Here is a 20574-nt window from a genome sequence, read left to right on the forward strand (position 1 = left end):
TTCCAAAGGCCTTGTACGTTCTTTCCAGTTTGGGAAAAGGAGCAGCTAAGGGCACCCATGGAAACACTTACTAATTGTGTGACCTTAGGCAAGTCCCCCTAACCTCACCAAAGATAAAATTCCCTTATGAGTAAAAGGGGATCACAAAATGGAGATAATAATTCGGGCTACCTGCTATGGATGATTGCTGTGGGATTAGGGAAGATGATGCACGTGATACATTTAGCAGAGTGCCTGGTGCCTAGTAGGTGCCCATTAAAATTTAGCTATGACTGTTCTCTTTAGCTGACACACAAGACTGCCTTGAATGTTCACATTTCCAGAGAAAGGTGCTCAGGAAGATTTCTCAGTGTTCCGCCTGCCAGGTCAGTTTACAGTTCAAAGAATCCCTTTGTTCAAAGGGTGAGCAAATCCAGGCCTCGTGTATCTGCAGCAATGAAACAAGGGAGCTTTCTGCCTGATCTTCTCCCCAAAGGCAGTCTCTCTTTTTAAATGCCTGCACACATGTTATTTATTTATTTTTGGTTAACGTTTAAATTGAGGTTTTGGCTGAAACTCAGCCTGCGCGCACTTGAAAAGCCAACAGGCTCATTGGGCAGCCGATAAAGCTCTCGGGATTTCCCCGCGGGGCTGCGGAGAGTACAGACAGGAAGCCTGGGGACCCAGCGCCTGACCAGAACTTCCTCGGGGGAGGCTGCAGGGGAGCAGGCGCATCCTGCACAGAACGCTCTAGAGCGCGCAGGCCAAAGCACCAGGCTGCTCCTGACACGTGCTGCAAGAGGGTCCCCGACCCGGGGGTCCAGACCCTGCACGCATGATGGGGAAGGTGGAGGCTTCCCCCTCAGCTCCGCGGAGAGAAGCTGACACTGCCAGGCTGGAACCTTCCATTCCGGCCCAGCCTCTTCCTCCCTCGCTGTGCCGAGGAGGGATCTAGAAGGGACTTTCCAGAGAGGGTTAGCGTGCAGGGTGTGGAAATGGAATAAAAGCATATGCAAATAGGCCTTAGCTGCCTTCCTCTACCCCAGCAAATAAGAGTCTCTCCAGAAAGATGCTCTTTCTCCAAGACGCTTGACCGCTCTTCCTTTCCTGGATGGCACCAGCAGGGCCGATTGGAGTGGTAAACCCTGGGCCGGAAGGCATGCCAAAGGGTGGACAGGATGGACAGGAGACAGTAGCACAACGAGGAGGGGGAGAACAGCGGCTGAATTGGAAATGATAAAATAAAATGAAATTTTAGGAGCTCGCTGTGAGTATGAGCTGGGAAAAAATAATCATTGCAAGCTGATTTATTATGTACTTATCTTCTGTTTGAGAGGCAGCAGGCTTTTGTACAGTGGATTATTGCAGAGTAAATGGCACATTAAAGATATAATCAAGATGTTTAAGGCATATTGAAATGACATTAGAATCAAGTAGGTGAGACTTTTGTCATGGTCTAGAAATATAAAAATGTCAGTGACTTGGAGATATTTCCAGTGCTTTAGTAAAGATGTGGCTCCATTTTCAAAAGGGACATATTTTTAACCTTTTGTTATTTTCAGGGTGGGGGGGGATAGAGTGGGGTCAGGAAGTGGTTTAGAATCTCTATGGATGATAAAATAATATGCTTTAAACCTGGAGTTGTAGACTGTGGTCTCTATTTAGCAAGTCATAAACTTTCTTGCAGTGACAATAGCATGAAAATATTGGACAGTAAATATGGTGCTCTTAGGAGGTTTCAGGGTTGGAAGACTATGGCTATTACTTTTTGTTTATTGTGTTCCTATTCTCAATTTCAATCTTGTCTTTGGATAGTAAGAATTTTTTTTAAATTTTCTATTTTTTTAAAAAGAATCTTTTACATACTGAACCTGACTTGTATACTAATTGGCAAACAGTGTCACTTTTCTTTCTTGATGCCTCAATGGGTTTAATTATTGTATTACGGTATTTTCTTGTCATTTGAGACCTTCACATTCAGTGTCCTTTCTTTCTTTTTTTTCTTTTTCTTTTTGAGATGGAGTCTTGCTCCCGGCCTGTCGCCCGGGCTGGAGGGCAGTGGTAAGATCTCGGCTCACTGCAACCTCCGCCTCCTGGGTCCAAGCAATTCTTGTGCCTCAGCCTCGAGAGTAGCTGGGATTACAGATGCGCGCCACAATGCCTGGCTAATTTTTGTATTTTTAGTAGAGACAGGGTTTCGCCACGTTGGCCAGGCTGGTCTTGAACTCCTGACCTCAGGTGATCCGCCCGCTTCGGCCTCCCAAAGTGCAGTGTCCTTTATTTTATTTGTGTGCCCTGGTTCTGCTTTGATTTTGCCCCAAACCCTTCTGAGTGTAGCGCTTTACTGACACTTTATCCCCGTTATTAACAATGGGTTTTTGGACAGAACTGGCTTCTCTTTATTTGTTGTTTTTAAAATCATACTGCTGTCCTTATGCATGGTACTCCTTGGAACAGATAAGCAGCCATACAAGAAGCTCTTTGAGAGAGAGAAGGTGGACTCTGGGGGTCGTGCCGGTTGTTTGGAGTTGTTGGACTGTTAGCTTGTGGAGTGGGTGATGTTTCATCTTCAGGATTCTGTGAGGCCAGGCCTGGGATGCGGGGAGGAGCTGACTGGATGGCTCCTGGTGATGCATTCCTGGGCCCTCTTCTCATCTCTGAATTCCTAGAGTCCCACTTTCTCCAAAGGCCCTGCGGGAATCAGACGCATGCACTTCTTCAGTTCTGTGTAGTTTTAGGTTCTCAGTGGAGGCCTTTGGGCTCAACTTGTAGTAAATATTTGTTTTCTGTGGCTGTCAGCAATCTATAGTCTTGGGTGTGGTCCCTAAAAGCCAGCTTTTGGGCAATTTTTGAACTGCAATGGGGATTCCTCCTTCTGGTTGTTCTACAATCTGGCAAACATTTCTTATTTTGTTCTGGGCTTTAGTCTTATTTAATAACAAGAGAAAATCTTCTATTTTTAACAATAACATGAATTATTTTTATGACTTACACTTTGTAAAGCATTTTTGTCATTTCATGTAATTCTTTCATAAAATTTGTAAGGTTGGTAGAAACAGTAGAATTAGCACATAATGGGAACTTATTAAATATTTGTTAAATGAATGAATTAAATCCATTTGACTGCTAAGGAAATTGAAACTCAAAGAGATCAAGTGATTGATTTAAGGCTCCACTTTCCAGTAGGGACTCACATCTGATTTTTCCCATTCCAGACTGACTCTGATATAATATCTTACATACTATTTGTTACTCTTTCTCCAAGATCTTAGAAAGGTCTTTTGATTCTCTAAGAAAAGATAATAGGACAATGCAAATGCATGGATACACCATCAAAGGGGTGGCTGAGGGCTGTCTACCTCTTTGTATAGTTCTTTCCTAGGTTCCTGACTCCGCTAAAAACTCATATCCTTAAAGATATGACTATTTAGATACATTCCTTGTTGGAGATAAGAACACAAGTTCATTGCTGAATCATGGTGTATATATACAAAAAAAAGAGTGCACAAGTTCATGCTGAGAAAAATGACTATCTTGAATTTTTAATATTTTTTGGAAGTTTGAGCATAAAACTCTGCACATCTCAGGGGAAGTTAATTTCAGAGTTTTGGATGCGGAGCTGAGTATTTTCTCTAGCTTTGTCTCTTGGGGTACTGGAGGGAGTCATGCACTGCCTCCATTTTGGGGTAATCTTGGTGTGTAGCAATCAGCACTCATCTGGCCTACAGTCGTCATTATCAGCTGCCCCCACTGCTGGAGGAAATGTCACCCATATCAGTTCAGACATTAAAATAGTAAGAAAAGAGCCAGTTGTTCTAGCCAAACCCAGAATTAGGCTTAAGGTCGCCACTATGTACCAATAACATCCATCAGCTCGCCAGAGACTTCCTTCAACCGGGGACACCAGGAACAGAGAGAAGGAAGAAAAATTTCCCTGTTAAATCTAAAGCAAATTAGAGAGGGATGCCAAATGGGTGTTCCCCACAAGGGCCTTTCCCTTTGACTTCTGTAACTCGAGATTCAAAGTTTTGGCTCTGGATTATCTCCCAGAAGAAAGCTGCAAAAACAACTGTGGTTACTTCTTTACTAAACTGATCCTCTTTGCTGCTCCAGTGTGCAATTATATTGCCACACAGATAGTCTCAAACCTGTCAGTCTTTTTTGCAATTGTTTTTGTGTCTCATTGAGAAAGGACTTCCTCAAGTGAAGATTGTAAAGATTTATTTTTATATTTATCTTTGAAACTTCTATAGTTTTTATTGCCATCACATTGTTCATTTGCATTTAGTTCTGTCATCCATCTGAAGTATATTTTTGTGTATGATATAAGACAGATCTGATGTTAATGTTTTCCTCTTTAGGTACTAGTTTTTCCTCTACTTTTTTTAAAAACTAAAATTTTAGCATTAGGATCGTTTTAGACTTATAGAAGCATTGCATAGACAGCACAGAGAGTTCTCGTACACTCCGCTCTTCTGCTTTTTGATTTCTTCCTCTGCTTTGAAAGGACATTTTTACCTGGTCCTAAATTACAGCATGTACACAGATATCTTTCTAGAATCTCATTTTTATTCTATTGGTGATTTGCTATTTCTGCTCCAATGTCACATGTTTAATTATTATTTCTAGAGATTTCATAGCTTTTGCTAGGAAACCTGAGATCTCACAGGGCTTTTAAGAAGTCAAATTCAGCCTTCAGGCAAGTGAAATAATATCAACCCTGTAAGTTGTTGCTGCTGAGGTAACCTGCCAGGAAGTAACACAGCTGCTACACAGGGAAGGGAGATGATCACTGGTCACCCGCCCTTTTCTCTGGGCACAAGTCTTGGACACAATAGCAAGGACCAGGCTTTGGAGCAGAGTTTCTTCACCTTAGCGCTAGTAACATTTTAGGACTGAAAGTTCTTTACTATTGGGGGGTGCTGACCTGTGCATTGTAAGGTGTTTATCTGCATCTCTGGCCTCAACCCACTAGATGCCCCCCAACTCATGACACCTTGAAATGACAACCAACTCATGGCAATCAAAAATATTTTCGGACACTGCAAATATTCCTAGGAAGGTTAAGCCTCCCCTTCCACTCCCCCTGCCCCTCCAGTTGAGAACCACTGCTCTGGAGCCAGCCTGAGTGTTAATCTTGGCTCTACTGTTTAGTAACTGTGTGCCTTCACTTTGTCAATGAAAAACAGCCAAATTCTGTAAAGTATTTGAAGACATTTATTCTGAGCCAAATTTGAGTGACCATGGCCCATGACACAGCCCTCAGGAGGTCCTGAGAACATGGGCCCAAGGTGGCCCAGGTGCATATTGATTTCATACATTTTAGAGAGGCATGAGACATCAATCAAATACATTTAAAAAATACATTAGTTTGGTCCAGAAAGGTGGGATAACTCAGAGCAGGGGCTTCCAGGCTATAGGTAAATGTAAACATTTTCTGGTTGACGGTTGAGTTTGTCTAAAGACCTGCGATCAACAGAAAGTAATGGCTGGGTTAAGATGAAGGATTGTGGAACCCAAGTTCTTATTTGCAGAGGAAGCCTTTAAGTACTAGGCTTTACAGAGAATAGGTTGTAAAATTTTCTCTTTTCTCCTCTCCCTCTCCCTCTCCCTCTTCCCCTCCCCCTCGCCCTCCCTCTCCCTCTCCCTCTCCTCTCTTTAAGACAGAGTCTCGCTCTGCTGCCCAGGCTGGAATGCAGTGGCACAACCTCGGCTCACTGCAACCTCCACCTCCCAGGTTTAAGCAATTCTCCTGCCTCAGCCTCCCGAGTAGCTGGGACACCACCGAGTAGCTGGCGGGCACCACCATGCATGGCTCATTATTGTATTTTTAGTAGAGACAGAGTTTCACCATGTTGGCCAGGCTGGTCTCGAAATCCTGACCTTAGATGATCTGCCCACCTCAGCCTCCAAAAGTGCTGGGATTACAGGCATGAGCCATGGTGTCTGGCCCATAAGATATTTCTTATCAGACTTATAGTCAGTGTTGATGTTAATGCCGGAGAGGTATAATGAGGCATGTTCGAACCCCACTTCCCATCATGGCCCGAAATAATCTCTCAGGTTACATTTTAAAAGAGCCTTAGCTGAGGAGGAAGTCCATTCAGATGGTTGGGGTGGGGGGTGCTTCAAATTTTGTTTTTGGTTTACAATTTCCTCCTGTGTAAAATGCTAACGATAATATTGCCTATCTCCTGGCATGGTCACAAAGGCCAAATGAGCTAATTAATCACAGGAAATGCTCAGAACAGACTCTGGTAGGAAAGACCTGAGCTCAATGTTAACCATTACATTATTAAAAAAAATCCTTTACATTTGGTCTCACTCCTGATTATCCCATAGACTTCCCGTTTTTCCTACACCTCCATATCTTCTCCGCCGTGGAGCAAAATGTTTAAATCACAACAATATGCACCAAAACATTACAAGTCTATGTTAATGAAATGGAACTCTATTTTCAGGGCCCTGTAACTGCTAATTAATCAACTCCCATGATAAAGTCATCTGAGCTGTGTGTGAATTTTATTTGCAGCTGCAGAACAGCAATTCGTTAGTTAACAGGCCTTTAATTGACAATCCAGCTCTTTGGAGCAGGAGAAAGGCCCAGAAATGATTTTCTGAGCAAGATGGTAATGACAGTGGGGAAGATAAAAATCTGGATAAGGAGAAGACTGAGGATTTACTTGACTCATTAACTTGATGGCTTTGGGAATGCCGTGTTCATTTACCGTTAAAACACACCATCATCTTGCAATTCAAAGGGGGATGAATGAAGACTCGTCTTCTAGCAATTCATGTTACTTAGTCACCCAGAAATTTTTTTTTATTTTGCTTTTTGTAGCAGCAGATATTGTAAAACCATTACGTTTGTTATTAACCTTGCCTGAGAGCCTTTCTCCCGGGGATGATTATTGCTATGCGTTAAGAGCTGGTTGAGGATGGCAGGTGTGGGTTGTCTCTGCCTTTGTCCTAAAGGCTCAATTCCTTCTTCTAGTGAAACCAGGACTTGGTTTGATGAAGAGAAGGAAGTGCCTTGGACTGAGCATTGGGGACTGTAGTCAGGCTCATTGGTTTGATGGCCTTGGTGATGCTCACTTAATGCACTTAGTCAATACAGCAGAGTGGTTGGAAGCCTGGGTTCTGGAGGCAGCATGATTAAGTTGAAAACCTAGTTTCTTAACTTGCCAGCTGTGTGGCCTTTCTGAACCTTCAGAAAGGCTGCTGAATCTTCAGAAAGGCCTTTCTGAACCTTCAGAAAGGCTGCTGAATCTTCAGAAAGGCCTTTCTGAACCTTCAGAAAGGCTGCTGAATCTTCAGAAAGGCCTTTCTGAACCTTCAGAAAGGCTGCTGAACCTTTCTGAGCCTAATTTTTTTCATTTATAAAATGATGTTGATCATAGTACCTACCTCACAGTTTTGTTAGGAATTTTTAGTGAAAGAATTCATTTAGCCTCACTCCTAATAAGCATTTAATACATCTTAACTACAAAGATAACTGTTATTATTCATTTGCGAGCTTTCCATGAGCCAGGCATTGTAAGGATAGGGCACACATTCAGGTCAAATAAGACATTTTGGGCTTCCGAAGAGTTTATTCCCTGGAGATTGGAAGGAGAGAATTGTTTCCACAGAGGTAAGCATCTAAGGCTGTGGACGTGGGGAGGGAACTGGAGAAGCTCTTTGGGAGGTGGTGACCTTTATGGAGGGACTTGTGCCCAGAGACTGGTACCTGAGTAACTACAAAGGGAATGGACCCCAGATATAGGCAGAGCCCATACATATAGAGACAGAAAGTCAAGACCATAGAAACAGGGGTGAAACTTAGAATATTCTCCCCATCCCCAAATAGAAAACAGTTAAATGTATAGGCTGGAAGACCAGAGAGAAATGTATTGCCTGTTTCTGCTTAGTGAATCTAGCCATCAGTTTCTGCGACTTTAAGCATGTTTTATGCCAGGCGTCTGATTCCCAGCTGACTGGGCCCCAGAGCCTAGAGGTGCCCAGGACAAGGTGTATGGGTTGCAATTATTTGTTTGGCTGTTTGTGTTTAGTAACGTTTCTTTTCACCTTGCAGGAAGTCACCTCATGGTTATAAGGGGAATTTTTTTTACAGAAAGGGCTAGCAAAGTTCAGTACTGGAGGATCACCTTACAGCTTCTTCTTGGTAAACATTTGTTGGCCCAAAAATGTTTCCATGCTAGCTCCAGCTTTCCTCCTAAGGCGGTGCGGAGATCTAAATGAGATAATTATGCAGACTATTTGAAAATTTTTTTAAAAAATAAAGTGCTACGTTAGGTACTACCTAATTTTTTTTTATAGCTAGCATATAAAGGAATTTGGATGTATCTCCTTTACACCTTTTGAGAATGAACTGAAAGACCAGGATTAATTTAGCTTTGAAAGGATATCGAATTTATAAAGTTATACTAGGTAAGTCTCTCTTAAAAGCCACGCATATTGAAAACCCATTCCTTTATTCTAACTCTGTATAGCAAGAGCAAAGTGCCACAGTAGTATTTTTTGGGGTGAGAGCTGGCAAAGTATATTTATAACAACTTTTGGGTTCCTTTATAAATTTCTCTCATATGGTGGGAAAAATACATAAAAGGAAAGGGGGTGGATTCTTAAAAATGGAAGCAAATAGTTTCTCTGTCACAATGCACTATGACCAAATGAGGTATGGGATTTCTTTTCATAGGACAAGTTATACATTTGCCCAACATAGTTACACAATAGGACTCTGTCTTAAAAGAGAATTCAGTTTTTTATTGATCTAATGCAACTACAGTTTTCCTGGGCTGTGCGCTGGGGAAATGATAATAATGGATGGAGCAGTCATGCTGACAAATGTAAATGGTCAGTGGTTAAAAGACCTTCATATTGCTCTTTTGTTTCCGTGTTTTCTGACTGCAAATCTCATGAAGTTGACAAAATGGCTCATAGTGCAAAGTACGTCCTGGTAAATAGGAGGCAATTACTTTGCTGTGTTGCTCTGTTCTGTTCCCCATTCTGGCTGGGGAATGGCTCCGACTGTGCAGTTTAAGTTTATTTTGGCCTGGCTGCTTTGGCGGCACAGGAACAAACTAGTGCCTCACTGGAGATATAGATTCCGAAGAACTGGAGGTTTGAGGGTCTGGGTGACCAGGGACAGGTGGGGGCTGGGGGCAGCAAGGGGACCAATGGCTTACTATTCAGATCGTCACCACCCTGATGTCCAGCTTTCCATGCAATGCAGTGACTGGGAGCTTGTGGGAGGTCATCTGAAAGATACTGTGGTCTTCCGAAACAGAATATGTCAGTCAGGCAGAGGATGGGAAGATGACTGAGGACGGGAGGGGAACTTTCAGAGGGCAGAGAGAAGGAGTGGTTAATCATAATAAAAACATAGAATTTGTTATTATAAAATAATTACTCAAGAAGTGTTTTCTAATTGTCTACCATGTACCATGCACTGCTGTTGTGGGACGGGGTAAAAAGAGGCGGAAAATGTGATATCTACCTTTGAGAATTTCACAGTCTCACAGGACTTGCACCTATGGGTGCAAGACCCTGCAGGATCACATGTTAAATTGCGTGATTGGATGACAGATGTGTGGGATGATTTTTTACCCTCCTCCCAGCTGTTTTCCACACCCAACCAAAATATCTAAAAAATACAGCCTGGATCACATTCCTTCTGTGTTTCCTCTGTCTTTAGTTAAGGTCAACTCCATATTTCTCAGCAAGGCCAACATGAATCGGCTCTTGCCTTTCTGGACCTTCCTCTCCTCATGCCATCCCTAGTCTCGTTATTGACCTCAGTAGAGGAGTCTCTCTCCGTCCTCACAAGTGTGCCTGGTCACATCCTATTTGTGACCATTTGGACATTCTGTTCCCTGTGCCTGGAACTCCCTTTTACCTGGTCTTTGCCAGACCATGCTCTACTTATTCTTCAGGGTTTCTCCTTAAATGTCATTTCTTTCCAACTACCAGGTGCTTCATAGAATCTTGAGCTTTTCCACTGGTCGCATTTATCACATTTGGGCTCACTTATCTGTGTGATTATCAGTGAGATTTCAGTCTCTCCTGTTTTGTGATCTCCATGGACCATGCTGGTCTTGTCTGTGCTGCAACCCCAGGATCTAGCACAGGCCCGACACATGCAGCAGGTGCTCTGTAAGTCAGTGATGGGTGAATGGATGAGCAAGGAGAGGTTCCACTGGGTCAGTGCAGTTGTCCTTTCGAAGCACTTTGTTGCTCCTCCTGGAGCCCTTGGTGTGTTGAACTTAGCATCCTGTTTGTCTACCCTCACATCCTCATGAGCTTCCAGAGGGCAGGGATTGAATCATCATCATCTTTTCATCTGGTTCACATAGGAACTCAGTGCAGGTTGTAGGATGAAGGAAAGAATAAACTGTGTACGAATGGAGCGGGCCTTATCTGGGTTTTAAAGCTTGCCTGGGGAGGAAGGTGGAGAAAAAGTGAATTCAAGGATCCAAAATAGCAGTGGGAGCCAGGATGCAAAACAAGAGTAGGGTTTTGTTTTGTTTTAAAGCTGAAAATCTGCATTAGAAAAATACCGGATAGTCACCAGACACAGCATGACAGGATGTACTCATGCTACAAAGATGGGAGGGTTGAGTGGGGGGAGGCTTGGAATTTCCCCAGCTGAACTTTATACCTTGAACAATGTCCATCTTTCAGAGCTTGCTGCTCTCCTCAGGAGTTTTATCCATTCAACACATTTTTATCAAGCACCTATTCCATGGGGAAGATATGCCTCCCCTCAAAGAGCACGAAAATTGGCCCTTAGGAGGTGAAAAAAAACTCTATGTGTAAAGCACAAATATACATACAGTATATATAGACATATAATATATCTGTAGTGTTAACATTTCATAGTGGGGGGATTAGAAAAAAAAAAGTCTGAAAAGGTTCCTTAGAAGGATGATAATGAAAAAAAGATTGAGAAACTGACCTACTCTGTGCCAGGCATTCTTCTGGTTAAAGGGCCTACTCCCATGAAGCTTTCACTCTTACCAGGCAGAAAGACAGTAAACAAATAAGTAACTGTAAACTAATAATAAATTGTATGAGGCAGAAAAGCAGGCAAGGGGCTGGAACGTTTGGGGGATGGGTGGGGCATGTCTGTGTTTCCTTTAGGTAGAGTGGGTGAGGGATGGACTCTGATGAGGTGAGGTTTGAGAAGAGTCTGGAAGAAGTGACAGGTGAACAGTAGAAATATTTTGGGAAAGAGCATTCCAGGAAAAGGTAACAGCTTGGTGCAATTAAGAACAGCAAGGAGGCCAGGTGGGCAGGAGTGGATGGATGAGGGAAGGATGGTAGAAAATGCGATTGGAGGTAGAGGCAGGGGCCAGATGACATGGGCCTTGTAGGCCATGCTGAGGGGTTTGGGTTTTGTTCTCTGTGTGATGTAAAGTTGCTGGAGAGCTTTATGCAGGGGAGTGACATGATTTGATTTATCTCTCCTTTTTTTTTTTTGAGACAGAGTCTTGCTCTGTCTCCCAGGCTGGAGTGCAATGGCATGATCTCGGCTCACTGCAACCTCCGCCTCCCAGGATCAAGCAATTCTTCCTGCCTCAGCCTCCCGAGTAGCTGGGATTATAGGCACCCTCCATCATGCCCAGCTAATTTTTGTATTTTTGTAGAGACAGGGTTTCACCATGTTGGCCAGGCTGGTCTTGAACTCCTGACTTCAGATGATCTGCCTGACTGGGTTTCCCAGAGTGCTGGGATTACAGGCGTGAGCCACTGTGCCTGGCCTCTTTTTTTTTTTTTTAAATACTTTAAGTTCTGGGATACACGTACAGATGGTGCAGGTTTGTTACATAGGTATGCATGTGCCATGGTGGTTTGCTGCACCCAGTAATCTGTCGTCTAGGTTTTAAGCCCCACATGCATGAGGTATTTGTCCTAATGCTCTCCCTCCCCTTCCCCCCACCCTCTGACAGGCCCCAGTATGTGATGTTCCCCTCCCTGTGTCCATGTGTTCTCATTGTTCAACTCCTACTTCTGAGTTATCTTTTAATAAGATCCCTCTGACTGCTATTTGGAGGGTGGACTGCAGAGGCAGGAGTGGAATCAGGAGACCTCACTGTTGCAGATCTCCTAGGTGGGAGCTGATGGTGGCTTGGGTGAGGGTAAACAGTTAGATTCTACGTGTACTGTGAAGGCAGAGCTTGCAGGACCTACAGAGGGATCGAATGAAAGTTCTCCTTTCTACCAGCTGCTGGCCTCTCTTGTGAAGGCCAGGCTGAGTACATGTTTATCTAGCATTCTGCAGTTACTTATTTTTCATCTGTATACCTTGCCACCTTATCTAGTCTTTGAATTCCTTTAGGGAAGAAACCATTTTTGTTTATGTCTCCAAGAGCCAGACAGTGGGGCCGAATGGTCAAAAGTGTTAGTTGTATGTGCTAGGTGGATGTTTTAACTGCTTAGCTACTGCTCTTCCTCCTCCTTCTCTTCTTTTTGCTTCTCCTCATCTTTTTTAATCGAGTGAGGATGGCAATGGCATTTCTTTATGGCTTTTGAGAGTGAAGTGAGATTTGTGTGAAAGTGCCTTGTTGGCTGGTTGTGGTGTCTCACGCCTGTAATACCAGCACTTTGGGAGGCCGAGGTGGGTGGATTGCTTGAATCCAGGAATTTGAGACCAGCCTGGGCAACAGAGCAAAACCACCTAAGTTGGAGCACTTTTCCCCTTCCATGTCTGGTTTTCCTTCATGTGAAAGGGAAGGCAACGCTTACTTTAAAAAGTGGAAACTCTCAAATAATTTACATTGTATTCTAAGTGGTAAAAGGCCACATTGAGGGTGATGGAGAAGCCATTACATGTCACTTGAGGGAAGTGAGTGTCTCTAGTGAATCATTATGAGTAAACGGATTTGGTGCTGCAGCATGAGCAATACAAAACGTTTATATAGTAATCACCAAATTGTGTGGATCCAACCAGAATAAAAAAATGCCTGAGCTTTGGCTTAGGGCCATGGCTGAACGGGAGCATGAAGCCTGGCACAGAACAGAAGGAATGAAAGGCATGGATGTAGCACAGCGATAGACATAAATAGATGCAAGTTTAAGCAGAGATGAAAATGCGTGGCTGCCGCTTTTTCCCTCTGCACTCACGGCAGGCTCAGAGCTGGAATTAGAACACTGGCAACCAAACTCTAGAGCCTGTTGTCTAAGCATTACACTTTGCTTTCTCCAGATATACCCAAATGTTACCCCAGAATCCTTCTATCTGCAGATTAATTCCCCCTGCAGATTGTGGGGTTCAGGTTTATTTTACAGTGCCATTCATTTGTTCACCCACTCATTCATTTGTCCACGAATTAAAAACTACTTTTCTGCATCTGCCATGTGCCAGGCACAGTTAGGTGCCAGGGATCCAGTCGTGAATAAAACAATCACGGCTTGGGGCTACAGTTAGTGGAAGCAACACTTCTTGTTTAGGACTGTCAGTGGTGGGAGGACCCAGGATTTGTGTGATTTGCCACAAATTTAGTGGTCCCCTTTTCTGCATTGAACCAGAAAATCTTCTAATTGGTGAAGAAAATCAGCAACAATCTGAAAAATAAAATATGGCACCCTATGCTTCACCCTGGACCAGAAATTGGGCCACCTGCCATCATTTTCTGACCAGGCTGATTTAGCTATTTGACCTTCGGCCTCAATTATAACTCATGTTCAAACAGTGGTTTCTCATAGATTAGTTTACTTTGCTCCTTCCAATACCTGATTGGTGAGAGAGGACCATTTCTGAGGAGGTCTCTGATGTGTAGAGAGGTTATATGACCTGCCTAGTTCCCATAGCTGGTAGGAGACAAGCTAGGGCTAAAACCCAGTTTTAACTTCTATCACCTTTTTTTTTTTTTTTTTTTTTGAGACAGTCTCACTTTGTTACCCAGGCTGGAGTGCAGTGGCACGATCTCAGCTCACTACAACCTCCACCTCCCAGGTTCAAGCATTCCTCCTGCCTCAGCCTCCTGAGTAGCTGGGACTACAAGTGCGTGCCATCATGCTCAGCTAATTTTTGTATTTTTAGTAGAGATGGGGTTTCACCATGTTGGCCAGGCTGGTCTCAAACTCCTGACCTTATGATCCCCTCACCTCTGCCACCCAAAGTGCTGGGAGTACAGACATGAGCCACCGTGCCCAGCCTATCACCTTGTTTTTATTATCTCATCATGTTGTCATCTTAATGTTTTTAACTTTTCAGTTTCCCCATCTTTAAAATAAGGAAATTAAACTGTGTGGTTTGTAAAAGTAAGTTCCCTCCCTCCCTTCCCTTCTCTCCCTCCCTCCCTTCCCTCTCTCCCTCCCTCCCTTCCTTTTCTCCCTCCCTCCTGTTCCTGGACCAAACTGAGGGTCAGGCTGCTGTTTCTCACAGCCCAATAACGAGATGCAGATGAACTGGGAAGGAAGAGAGTTTTTATTTCTGTAACCAGTTACAGGGAGAAGGCCCAGAAATTATCACTAGACCAACTCAAAATTACAAAGTTTTCTAAGCTATATGTCTACATGTAAGTGTGCGTTCATCTAAAGACATTAGTGATTAATTTCTTTTAATCTGTAACTAAGGTCTGAGTCCTGAAGACCTTCCTCTAGAGCCTCAGTAAATTTACTTAATCTAAATGGGTCCAGGTGCTGGGGTGATTACTTATCTTGTCCCCTGCTAAATCATGGAGGTTTGGGGAGTTCCTTTAGGCCCCCAATAAACCTGTTTGTGGAGGCCTGGGGAGTTTCTTCAGACCCCCATTAAAACTTGTTTAATCCTAAATGGGTCCTGTTAAGAATTCCTTCGTTATTTTGTCATGCTTTAGTGTCCAGGCAAAACTCTTGGTGGGCTTTTGTTGCATTCCAGACTTTGTATAAGGGCACTGGCTCAATCAACTTTTAATGTTTAACCTAGCTGTCAGTCAGTGCTGGGACAGTTGTGATGGAAGCCTGCATAACTGAGACCTAGCCTCCCTCCCTTCCTCCCCTCCCCGCCTCCCTCCCTCCCTTTCTTCCTTCCTTCCATCCTTCCATCCATCCATCACTGGAGTGCCTACTATGATCAAGACATCATGCTAGAAGCTGGAAATAATGTTACACAAAACACATGCACACACCCCATTAAGAAAGTTAAAAAGCCACCCAAAGAATGGGAGAAAATATTTGCAAATTATACATGTGGGACTTGTATCTAGAATATATACAGAACCCTTACAACTCAATAATAAAAATACAAACAACTCAATTACAAAATTGACAAAAAAATCTGAATAGACATTTCTCCAAAGAAGCTATATAAATGGCCAGTAAGCACATGAAGAGATACTCAACATCATTAGCCATCAGGGAAATGCAAATCAAAACCGTAGTGAGATACCACTTCACACCTACTAGGATAACTATACTCAAAAGATAGACATTAACAAGTATTGGCAAGATGTGGAGAAACTGGAACCCTCATACACTGCTGGTGGAATTGTAAAATAGTGTGGCCGCTTTGGAAAACAGTCTGGCCATTCATCAACTGATAGCCATAGAGTTAACATATGACACAGAAATTCCACACTTAGGTATACGTCTGTGAAAGGAAAATAGATCTCAGAACTCCCAAAATCACTAAGCCAAAGGGAAGTCAAACTGGGAACTGTGTGAGGCAAACCTGCCTCCCATTTTATTCCTACGTAAGCTAGCTACAAAGATAAAAAAGCTACATACCTCCCTCACAATTTGCCCACTAGGAAATTCCTTGTGGACAAAGGACAGACAGAATTCAGTCATTCTTTTGCTCATGTGAGACCAATGCATATCTGATTGCTTCTTCTGCCCTATTATTTCACTAAGCCAGACTAAGGAATAAGTGACTATTCCTCTACCCTCCTCTCACATGTAAATTGTGTATTCAGTAAAAGGCTAACCAGAGACAAAAAAATGCAACAGTTTGTCTTGTATCTACCTATGATCTGGAAGCCCCCACCCCTGCTTCTAGTTGTCCCAGCTCTCCAGACTGAACCAATGTACATCTTACATATACTGATTGATGTCTCATGTTTCCCTATAATGTATAAAACCAAGCTGTGCCCCGACCACCTTGGGCACAATGTTGTCAGGACCTTCTGAGGCTGTGTGACAGGCATGTTCTTAACCTTGGCAAAATAAACTTCCTAAATGGATTCAGGTCTGTCTCAGATACTTTTGGGTTCACACATCCATGAGAAATGCAAACATATGTCCATACAAAACTTGTACATGGGTATTCATTCATAGAAGCATCAAATAGGCAAAAGGTAGCAACAACCCAAATGCCCATCAGCTGATGAATGGATAAATGAAATGTGGTAGATCCTAACGATGGAATATTATTCATCCATAGGAAGGATGTACTGATACGCATTAAAACATGGATATATCCTGAAAGCTAAGTGAAAGAAGCCAGTCACAAAAGGCCGCTGATTATATGATTTCATTTATATAAGATGTCCAGCATATATATAGACAGAACGTAGATCAGTGATTCCCCAGGGGTGAGGGAGGGGAATGGAGATTGACTGTTAATGGTTATGGGATCTATTTTGGGGATGATGAAAATGTTCTGGAATTGATTATGATGGTTGTACAACTCTGCAAAATACTAAAAACCAATGCATTTTTTACTTTAAATAGGTAAATTTTCTGGTGTGTGAGCTATATAGCTATAGCTCAATAAGGCTATTATATACTTATTTTATTTTATTATTATTTTTTAGAGACAGAGTCTCGCTTTGTCACCCAGCCTGGAGTGCAGTTGTGCAATCTTAGCTCACTGCAACCTCTGCCTCCTGGGTTCAAGTGATTCTTCTGCCTCAGCCTCCCAAGTAGCTGGGACTACAGGTGTGCGCCACCATGCCTGGCGAATTTTTGTATTTTTGTTAGAGACGGGGTTTCACCATGTTAGCCAAGTGAAACTTGAACTCCTGACCTCAGGTGATCTGCCTGCCTCAGCCTCCCAAAGTTCCGAGATTACAGGTGTGAGTCACCACATCTCGCCTATATACATATTTAAAAAACACTAGCATGGTCTCTATGCTTATGGAAAACAGTCTTGTTGGAGAGATAATTTTAATCAAATAATTATACAAAATTATCTAACAATTACAAATTACGGTGAAGGAAAGAATCCCATATTATGAAAGAGACTAGCTGGAGGCTGATGGTGAGGGAGTGGTAGGTAAACATTCAAGTGCTCTTACAGAGATCCCCAAGTAACAGTGGCTTAAATAAGGTAAATGTTCCATTCTTGCTGATCTATCAGTGCAGGTGTAAGCAGTCTAGGGTGTATAAGGAAGCCTCACACTTTTGGGGCTCTTCTGGCATGCTGCTCTGCTGTTCCCTGGGGGGCTGCACTCATTTGCATGGTCCACAGTGGCTCTCTACCATGTCTACAGTCCAAGCCTGAGAAGAGGGAGGGAAACAGTAAAAAACTCTCCACTCCTGCTCATATCCAGCACTTTGTCACACCAGGTGAGGAAACAAAGTCAGATGTCCATGTGTTCAGATACCACTTAAGGGTTCTATTAGTATAGAAGGAGGAGAGAATATATATTGGGCAAACAATCAGCAATCTCTGCCATAGATGGCCTCTCTGAGGAAGTGACATTGAAAGCAAGAACATCAGGATAAGTTGATGTTAAAGAGAGGAACGAGTTTTCCAGGCCAGAGGGATGGCATATGGAAGGGTCATGAGGCAGGAAAGGCCAGCTACCATGTTTAATGATGCTTAATGATGTGTGTGTCTACCATACACATCCCCTACAGATTAGTTTTTGTTTTGACAGGGTCTCTCTCTGTGGCCCAGACTGGAGTGCAGTGGTGCAATCATAGCTCACTGCAACCTCCAATTCCCAGGCTCAAGCGATCCTCCCACCACAGGCCATCATGCATGGCTCATTTTTTATTTTTAGTAGAGACAAATTCTCCATGTTGCCCAGGCTAGTCCTGAACTCCTGGGCTCAAGAGATCCACCCACATCAGCCTTCCAGACTGCTGGCCTGGTCTCCTCCAGATGTTTATAACTCATGAGTGCCAGGACTAGACCTGGTACTAGGAAGCAGCTGCATTGGATTTACCAGGCTTTTCACTCTTGTATTTTACAGGGCTGGGACAGGCCTGGACTGCAAGGAGGGGTCTTTGCACCATCTCTGAAAAGCCGATGTGTATCCTCAGCTTTGAGAACTGAATTCCATGGGTTGTGTCAGTGTCAGACCTCTGAAATTCAGTTCTTCAGCTGGGATATCTCTGTCATCGTGGGCTTGAGGACCTGGAGAGAGTAGATCCTGAAGAACTTTTTCAGTCTGCTGAAGAGCTTGGAAGACTGGAGACAGAAGGCAGAGTCTCAGGCTCTGAAGGTATAAGGAGTGTGAGTTCCTGTGAGAAACACTCATTTGATTGTGAAAAGACTTGAATTCTATGCTAAGCAGGGTTCCAAGTAGCTAAATGAATGATCTCAGCAAGTCTCTCTTGCTGCTGCTGCTACTCGTTTACATTTATTGATTACTTACGATGATTCAGGTACTGTTGTAAGTGCTTTACATGCTGTTATACGAGACTCTTGGGAGAAATCACTTTAATGAAGCTTGAGACACATGGCATTGCCATGCAATGATTTTTCCCCCCTCTTCACGGGATCAGAGGGAACTAATAGAATGTGACAATGATTCTTTAGCAGGGACTGCTGAGGCTTCTGGTTCCTTTTTAAGATCTGCAGTGAAAGAAGATGAGAAACATGGATATGCCCTTCTTTTGGTCCCCCTCTTCCTTTATTTGATCTCTACTTCCTTCTATAAATATATTAGGGCTACATTGTCCCTTTGTATTTCAAACAAGGCAAAAAGAGGTTGTAATTACACTTTACTGCAATCCTCAGTTTCTCCAGGGAACAGGAATGCAAAGGCTTTGAAGGCCTCTCTATTTGCTGACATGGTCAGCTGGGTGCCATGGGCCAAGTCCTTCTGTTGCCCTCCTCTGTCACCAAGTAAGCTAGGTCCTTTCTGAGGCTCAGGTTTGCTGTGATGATGATCACTTTTAGGCAGAAGGTTAGAGGCCTCATGAGTGCTATATGGACTTTATTAGGCTTTAGATTTGATGGGGAATAAGGGATGTGATTTGTCTTTTGGGAACTCATCTTTGATTCATCATTGTCTCTTGGTATCTTGGAATTTCCATGTCATTACAGTCTACAGAATGAAAGAGTAACCTGTCCCAGAGGAGAGGCAGGTGAAAGACTCCACAGCATGCTCATTCTCATTCTGTCTTCTCAGTGACACCGAGGTTTACTGAGTGCCCACTATGTGCCAAGCACTGTGCTCAGGGCTTTCTTTGTATGCATGATCTCAGTGAATCTCACCAAGCCTCATCTGGAAAACGGGGACAAATTAACAACAGGATGGCAAATTGAAAAACACGTAACCATGTTCTACAGATGGAAAGGGGTGCTTGGTTATTATGAAGGCCCCCTCGCAAGCGTGTGGGACATGGGTGTGTTCTCTGGGTTGTACTGATCAGATCAAGGACCTCCCCCACCCTTCTCACACTCTGCCCACTTCCGCCCTTTGCTTATCAGACCCTTAGCCAGTGACTCATTCCAGAACCAGAACCTTGGTGAAATCTCAACCGACACCAGAGATCGGTGTCTTCAGTCCTAGACTGATGGAGAAAATCCAGAATATATACTAGAAGCTCCAAATGCTCTGGGTTTCAGCTCCTCTGTGCTGTGGACACTGACTTTGGCTCAGAACTCCGATTTAGTACAAAAGGCTCATTTTTATTTCAGGGGCACTCTTCCTAAAGCAAACCTAATAAATGAAATATGGAATTCACAGATACACACACACATTAAAAAATTAACCTAGTGTATCTGTGAGGAGTAGGCAGAAATTCACTGTATAAAAGAATGCTTCATTTCATAGAGAATTTGTGTTAAGATTCCATTAGATAGTACATTTCTCAAAGATTTTTGAGGTTGTATTTGCTTTACCAAAACTTGGTTTATGTAAGTGGAAAAAGCATGTTGCAAAATAACTTGGTGTCTATGATTCAGTTTATGTAAAATAATAAATGTATGTAGGAATACGTGTGTTGAAAGATGTACATCAATTTGCTAACAATGGTTATCTCTGACGTGGTGGGATTTGAGATGTGTTTTTCTTTTTGGTTGTATTTTTCTCTATTGTTTGACTTAACACAGAACATGTTTGGTTACAACAATAAAGTTATTGAAGACAATATAACACCCAATTGTGATGAGTCCAGACAGTACTCATGCTGTGCATTTATTAGACAGTATGCCATAGAGGTGGGTCATGGAGGAGTGGAGAGAGAGCCCTGATTTGTTGTCCCATGAAGAAGATAGGCACAGGGTAATATGTAGTGTGATTCTTTTTTTTTTTGCACGAGGAGAAGTGTGTGTGTATCCGTGTAAGTGTATGGATATCCAGTGGGTAGTGGGTGTTAAGATTGCAAGTGATTTTTTTCCCCTCTCCCTTAATCATGCTTTTCTGCCTAAATAAAAAAAGAACTCTCTCCAAAAATCCATCCATGTGTGCCAGTGGTTTTTAAATGTGTTTC

At 43.0% G+C, this 20574-nt stretch overlaps 1 long non-coding RNA gene and 2 other non-coding genes across 3 annotated transcripts, besides 6 other annotated features; all 3 read left to right on the top strand.

The window, feature by feature from the left end:
• Positions 1–637: an enhancer, noted in NCBI's record as "H3K27ac-H3K4me1 hESC enhancer chr5:159894202-159894838 (GRCh37/hg19 assembly coordinates)". NCBI's record gives its function as "activates a minimal SCP1, AML or CMV promoter by ChIP-STARR-seq in primed H9 embryonic stem cells {active_cell/tissue: H9 hESC(primed)}" and the evidence as "EXISTENCE:reporter gene assay evidence [ECO:0000049][PMID:30033119]".
• Positions 638–1274: an enhancer, noted in NCBI's record as "H3K27ac-H3K4me1 hESC enhancer chr5:159894839-159895475 (GRCh37/hg19 assembly coordinates)". NCBI's record gives its function as "activates a minimal SCP1, AML or CMV promoter by ChIP-STARR-seq in primed H9 embryonic stem cells {active_cell/tissue: H9 hESC(primed)}" and the evidence as "EXISTENCE:reporter gene assay evidence [ECO:0000049][PMID:30033119]".
• Positions 742–971: an enhancer, noted in NCBI's record as "active region_23568". NCBI's record gives its function as "activates an Ori minimal core promoter by ATAC-STARR-seq in GM12878 lymphoblastoid cells {active_cell/tissue: GM12878}" and the evidence as "EXISTENCE:reporter gene assay evidence [ECO:0000049][PMID:35858748]".
• Positions 1002–1161: an enhancer, noted in NCBI's record as "active region_23569". NCBI's record gives its function as "activates an Ori minimal core promoter by ATAC-STARR-seq in GM12878 lymphoblastoid cells {active_cell/tissue: GM12878}" and the evidence as "EXISTENCE:reporter gene assay evidence [ECO:0000049][PMID:35858748]".
• MIR3142HG (MIR3142 host gene) lies at positions 1057–20232 on the top strand. Its single transcript, NR_132748.1, has 2 exons — positions 1057–1246; positions 18105–20232. It is a non-coding gene; the product is annotated as an MIR3142 host gene (long non-coding RNA).
• On the top strand, positions 7250–7331 carry MIR3142 (microRNA 3142). Its single transcript, NR_036095.1, has one exon. It is a non-coding gene; the product is annotated as a microRNA 3142 (primary transcript).
• Positions 10295–10843: an enhancer, noted in NCBI's record as "OCT4-NANOG hESC enhancer chr5:159904496-159905044 (GRCh37/hg19 assembly coordinates)". NCBI's record gives its function as "activates a minimal SCP1, AML or CMV promoter by ChIP-STARR-seq in primed H9 embryonic stem cells {active_cell/tissue: H9 hESC(primed)}" and the evidence as "EXISTENCE:reporter gene assay evidence [ECO:0000049][PMID:30033119]".
• Positions 10428–10722: an enhancer, noted in NCBI's record as "tiled region #10249; HepG2 Activating DNase matched - State 5:Enh". NCBI's record gives its function as "activates a minimal TATA promoter and a strong SV40 promoter by Sharpr-MPRA in HepG2 cells {active_cell/tissue: HepG2}" and the evidence as "EXISTENCE:reporter gene assay evidence [ECO:0000049][PMID:27701403]".
• On the top strand, positions 18158–18256 carry MIR146A (microRNA 146a). Its single transcript, NR_029701.1, has one exon. It is a non-coding gene; the product is annotated as a microRNA 146a (primary transcript).
• Positions 20233–20574: the final 342 nt, after the last annotated feature.

Source organism: Homo sapiens, chromosome 5 (genome assembly GCF_000001405.40).
Source record: "Homo sapiens chromosome 5, GRCh38.p14 Primary Assembly".
NCBI classification, from domain to species: domain Eukaryota; kingdom Metazoa; phylum Chordata; class Mammalia; order Primates; family Hominidae; genus Homo; species Homo sapiens.